This window comes from Homo sapiens, chromosome 1 (genome assembly GCF_000001405.40).
Source record: "Homo sapiens chromosome 1, GRCh38.p14 Primary Assembly".
Lineage (NCBI taxonomy): Eukaryota > Metazoa > Chordata > Mammalia > Primates > Hominidae > Homo > Homo sapiens.
Window position 1 is genome coordinate 68,880,319 of NC_000001.11, and position 6,083 is coordinate 68,886,401.

The window sequence follows — 6,083 nt, forward strand, 5'->3', positions numbered from 1 at the left end:
GTTGGCCTGCCTTGCTAGATTGGGGAAGTTCTCCTGGATAATATCCTGCAGAGTGTTTTCCAACTTGGTTCCATTCTCCCCATCACTTTCAGGTACACCAATCAGACGTAGATTTGGTCTTTTCATATAGTCCCATATTTCTTGGAGGCTTTGCTCATTTCTTTTTATTCTTTTTTCTCTAAACTTCCCTTCTCGCTTCATTTCATTCATTTCATCTTCCATCGCTGATACCCTTTCTTCCAGTTGATCGCATCAGCTCCTGAGGCTTCTGCATTCTTCACGTAGTTCTGGAGCCTTGGTTTTCAGCTCCATCAGCTCCTTTAAGCACTTCTCTGTATTGGTTATTCTAGTTATACATTCTTCTAAATTTTTTTTCAAAGTTTTCAACTTCTTTGCCTTTGGTTTGAATGTCCTCCTGTAGCTCAGAGTAATTTGATCGTCTGAAGCCGTCTTCTTTCAGCTCCTCGAAGTCATTCTCCATCCAGCTTTGTTCCGTTGCTGGTGAGGAACTGTGTTCCTTTGGAGGAGGAGAGGCGCTCTGCTGTTTAGAGTTTCCAGTTTTTCTATTCTGTTTTTTCCCCATCTTTGTGGTTTTATCTACTTTTGGTCTTTGATGATGGTGATGTACAGGTGGGCTTTTGGTGTGGATGTCCTTTCTGTTTGTTAGTTTTCCTTCTAACAGACAGGACCCTCAGCTGCAGGTCTGTTGGAATACCCTGCCTTGTGAGGTGTCAGTGTGCCCCTGCTGGGGGGTGCCTCCCAGTTAGGCTGCTCGGGGGTCAGGGGTCAGGGACCCACTTGAGGAGGCAGTCTGCCCGTTCTCAGATCTCCAGCTGCGTGCTGGGAGAACCACTGCTCTCTTCAAAGCTGTCAGACAGGGACACTTAAGTCTGCAGAGGTTACTGCTGTCTTTTTGTTTGTCTGTGCCCTGCCCCCAGAGGTGGAGCCTACAGAGGCAGGCAGGCCTCCTTGAGCTGTGGTGGGCTCCACCCAGTTCGAGCTTCCAGGCTGCTTTGTTTACCTAATCAAGCCTGGGCAATGGCGGGCGCCCCTCCCCCAGCCTCGCTGCCGCCTTGCAGTTTGATCTCAGACTGCTGTGCTAGCAATCAGCGAGACTCCCTGGGCGTAGGACCCTCCAAGCCAGATGCCGGATATAATCTCTTGGTGCGCCGTTTTTTAAGCCCATCTGAAAAGCGCAGTATTCGTGTGGGAGTGACCCGATTTTCCAGGTGTCGTCCCTCACCCCTTTCTTTGACTCAGAAAGGGAACTCCCTGACCCCTTGCGCTTCCCAAGTGAGGCAATGCCTCGCCCTGCTTTGGCTCGTGCACGGTGCGCACACCCACTGACCTGCGCTCACTGTCTGGCACTCCCTAGTGAGATGAACCCGGTACCTCAGATGGAAATGCAGAAATCACCCGTCTTCTGCGTCGCTCACGCTGGGAGCTGTAGACTGGAGCTGTTCCCATTCGGCCATCTTGGCTCCTCCGAACTCCAATTTTGAAATAAATTATACTGTGGCTAAAATGTTGTCAAACAGCATAACACGCTACAGAGAAAACTTTTATGAAAGGAAGAGTCAATAGTTGTAGAAAAATTTTTGTTGTTTAATTTTAAGAAATTATGACAGCCACCTCAACCTTCAGCAGCCACCACGCTGATCAGTCCAGCAGACATCAACACTGAGGTAAGACCCAGCATCAGCTATAGATTACAGCTTGCTGAAGGCTCTGATGATTGTTAGCATTTTTTTTGCAATAAAGTTTTAAATTAAGGCATGTACATTGTTATTTAGACATAGTGCTATTGCACACTCAGTGGACAATGGCATAGTGTAAACATAACTTTTAAATGCCCTGGGAAACTAAAAACTGCGCTGGACTCATTTTATTGCAATATTTGCTTTATTGTGGTGGTTTTGAACCACACTTGCTTATCGCTGAGCTATGCCGGTGTTTTTAAAGGAGATAATTTTGGAATCGGTAGATTAGATAAATAGAAGTAAAAGGGAATATTCAGAGAAGTAGTTTCCATATATCAGGAGAAAAGGTAAAGATCTGGACAGAGACAATTACAGAAAGGATGAGAAAAAGAGTCAGAATTTACAGGCTTTCCTAAGGGACATTTGAATGTAGTAGATGTCTAGTTTCTTTCTGGGACTGTAAGAGGAGGAGGGTTAATGTTTTCTTTATGCTTGGGGAGTTGATAACTTGTGGCATTGTGGAGAGAGAATGATCACCCAAAAGAATGGGTTTTATGAGAAAAATCATGAGCTCAGTAGGTAGAAAGAAATATGGATTTAGAGCCTTGGTGAGATATCAGGGGTGTAGATAGAGATGTAGGTGTTATCAACATATGGATGGTAGTTGCAGCATTGCAAAAGGAGAAGATATATAAGCAGAGTAAAGAACAAAGGGGGAAAATTCTAAAAAAAAAAAAAAAAGAAGAGAACGATTAAGGGGGGAAATAAATAAAGCCAATGAATAAGTAAAGAAAAGTTGCCATAGAAGTTGAAACCGGAAATATTGTGTCACCTGAAGGCTAATGGGGGAGAGAGTTTCAAGTAGTGGATGGTTAATTTGAAAGGTTTTAAACAAGGATCGAATATAATCAATTTTGCTTTTAGAAAGTGAACTAAACGAAAAAAAAAAAAAGAGAGAAAAGGAGCTGGATGCTATCATATGCTGAGAGAAAGGAATTTACCTCCACCAACCTATAGAATTGAGGATATGAAGAAAAAAGAGACAGAGAGGAGGTCACTTGGCTGGAAACTGATGGTGGCTGGATATAAAGACTGGAGAAGGCAAGAGTCAAAGCTGATTTTTTGTTTCTGCCTTGGTGAATGGTTTTCTGTTAACTGAGATGGGGAATGGCAGAGAAGCTGGTTTGGGGAAATTTGGGAAGAGATAACGAGGTTTCATTCAAATTCATTGAATGTGACATACATGTCTTAAGACACTCAGGTGGCAACCTCCTGACAAAGACTCAGGAGGGAGTTGAGAGCTGGAGTTATAATTGAGAGTGGGAAGAACACAGGTTCTGGTAAATCGTGAGAGAGACTGGAGATTTCTTATTAAGAGCACATGAATGCTTGAGATAGAAAACTGACAGCTGTGTGAAAGAAGCGGAGCCAATGGGTAACCCTGAATAAACATTTTTATAAATATCTTCATAAAAGGCAACCAGCAGGGTCACAGTGAAGCCATTTGGCTTGGAATGTGTGGTGCTTATTAGTAACATATAAACTGAGGTAAGGAGAAGAAAGAATGTGGGCTGAACAGTGTTCCAAAGTTGGATTCAAATCCTGAACGTTTTCGTTGCATGTTGTGGAACTTAGGGAAATTTACTTAATCTTGTTGACTTACAGTTTCCTAACGTGTAAGGTTATGGTAAGAAGTTCTAATAAGGCACAGATCTGCACAATGTAGGTGCTCAGTAAGGCTAACTTCCTCCATCTCTCACTTTCTAGTACTTCTCTTGCTTTCTTTTTTTCTCTTTCTTCCCTGTTGCATTTTCAATCATTTGCAATGAACACTGCTTTAGCTTATAATCTCAAATTGAAACACACTTTTTCTGTAGTTAAGGAATTATATATTAGTCAGGATATGCAACCATAAATTGAAATAACTGTTTGGATACTCAGGTTAGCAGCACTCATTTGAGGACATCAATTGAATAGGCTCTGATGCTAAGATGGGTCACCTAAGACACAAGGGAATGAGAGAGAGAGAGACAGAGAGAGAGAGGGGGGGAGAAGAAAGGGAGAGAAAAATATTATGACAGGTTAATATGGTTTGGCTGTGTCCCCACCCAAATCTCATCTTGAATTCCCACATGTTATGGGAGGGACCCAGTGGGAGGTGATTGAATCATGGGGACAAGTCTTTCCTATGTGGTTCTTGTGATAGTGAATAAGTCTCATGAGACCTGATGGTTTTAGGAAGAGGAGTTCCCCTGCACAAGTTCCCTCTTTTGCCTGCCGCCATCCACGTAAGATATGACTTGCTCTTCCTTGCCTTCCACCATGATTGTGAGGCTTCCCCAGCCACATGAAACTGCAAATCCAATTAAACTTCTTTCTTTTGCAAATTTCCCAGTCTCAGGTATATTTTTATCAGCAGCATGAAAACAGACTAATACACAAGCTAAATAAGTTCTGTTTTGTTTTTTCCAAATAAGGACAATTTTAAAATGCTATGAATACTATGTCCAGGGACATATTATAGAATCATTGAAAGAACTAGTAAGGATCTTAGAGATCATGGAATCTGATATTTCTCGTTTTGCTTTCTTTTGCAGCAGAACTTTCTTCTGGCAGATAAAATCTTACACAAATTGTTAACAGAATTTCTCACATTGATGCAGGGATGGAAGCCACTAAGCCTTACTTTCTCAGCCTCCTTCAGCCCTCTACTTTGGATGGTCCCTGAGGTACCATGGTGAAACCCTAGGGCTCTGAAGCATGAAGTATGAAGTATATAATCATGCTTTTAGTCCAACTGCCTTATTTAAGGAAGGGAAACTGAGTCATATGAAGATAAGTAGCTTGCACCAGATCCTGGCAGAGCAGTCTTCAATTCTCCCCCAGGGCTTTTGTTGGAGTGGCCTTTTAAAGCCTGCATTTTGAGCAAATCACCACCTTACCACTTTATTTTTGCAACCAGTGTTCCATAAAAATAAGAAAATATTCATAATGGAACTGCAGCCCCTCCATCTACAGGAAGAGTCCCAGGAGGATGACAATCATATGGGAAAAATACATAAAGTTTTAATTCAGGGGACTAACTAGCCACCTGCCAAGTTCAATTAAGTAGGAGTGGTAGTTGGCCAGGGAGGTGGGCCTGAATGAGTAGAGTTCTTGAGGGCAAGTAAGAAGTAGAAGTCTCTCACGTGAAGATGTAGCACAGAATCCAACTGGGACTAAACTGTGTGTCTGGGAGCCAGGACTTAATGGGCACACATTCATCTCTGGTGCTTAGATGAGGAGACCACTATTGTTGGGCTTTCCAAAAGCCATCTCTGTGTGTGTGTGTGTGTGTGTGTGTGTGTGGCAAGGGAATAAGAGGTCTGAGCTCTGCATAGTCAGGAGGCACCAAAGAGACATCGGGGGCTTTGAGGATGTTTGAGGATGAGGTTTGCTGGTTTTAGGAGGAAGGAAATGATGTAACAACTAATCTTTTCTGGGTTAAAATCTCAGATTTTATCTCGTTGGAATATTCAACTGATTTAAAATAATTTTCTGAGCATCTACTATGTCCAAAAAGTTGTATAGTGAGCTTCGGATGATCAAAATAAGTTATTTTCTTTAAGAATTAGATACAGTGAGAGAAGTAAGCATGCAAGTAAAAACTGAAATAGTGGCTTATTCATTTGTTCTTCATTGTCTCATATGGTGCTTAGCTCAGTGTATTTACTTACCGAATGCATTTATAGCCCATCTACATCTGAAAAAGATTTGAAGCAGTCACAAAACACTTTTTAAAAGTATATTAATAGAAAGAAAAAATCAGGAGCAGAACAGAAAGAGTAATATAATTTGGGGCTGCAAAAGAGGATTGCATTAAATTGGTTTCAGGTCATGAGTCTACCACTTATTACCTGTGTGAACACTTGGAAGTTATTTAAACATTCTGTCCTTCAGTCTCTTCAGCTATAAAGTTCAGTCTTTTCAGCTTATGGATTGTTGTGAGGATTGAATGACAACACATCTAAAGTTGTGATCAATAAAGTTTAATTATTTTGCTTTGCTTTCTGGGAAATTTCTTCTATATTTCCTTCCTCCCGTTTTATGAAGTTCTAAATTGCTATTGAATCTTGATGCTTCTGCTTAACTTCCAAGGACTATTTTGGGTATTAAAAGTGTTCCTTTTTTGTGTGTAATGTACTTCATTAATATAATTATAGTTTTCCTGAATATAGTAAGGGTCTTTCATTCATAATTCATTTTAGTTTTCTTCTACCTGCATAGACTCTGATTTTTCCAGGATTTTACAATCAATTTCTTGGTGGTTATTATCAATGAAATTACAGCATGGACTTTTAAACACATTTGACTGTAAAGTTAAAAGTATTTTTTATTTCTGTA

The 6,083-nt window shown here is 41.0% G+C and overlaps 1 annotated feature.

Moving 5' to 3' along the window:
- Nucleotides 1,196-1,831: an enhancer, noted in NCBI's record as "OCT4-NANOG-H3K27ac-H3K4me1 hESC enhancer chr1:69347197-69347832 (GRCh37/hg19 assembly coordinates)". NCBI's record gives its function as "activates a minimal SCP1, AML or CMV promoter by ChIP-STARR-seq in primed H9 embryonic stem cells {active_cell/tissue: H9 hESC(primed)}" and the evidence as "EXISTENCE:reporter gene assay evidence [ECO:0000049][PMID:30033119]".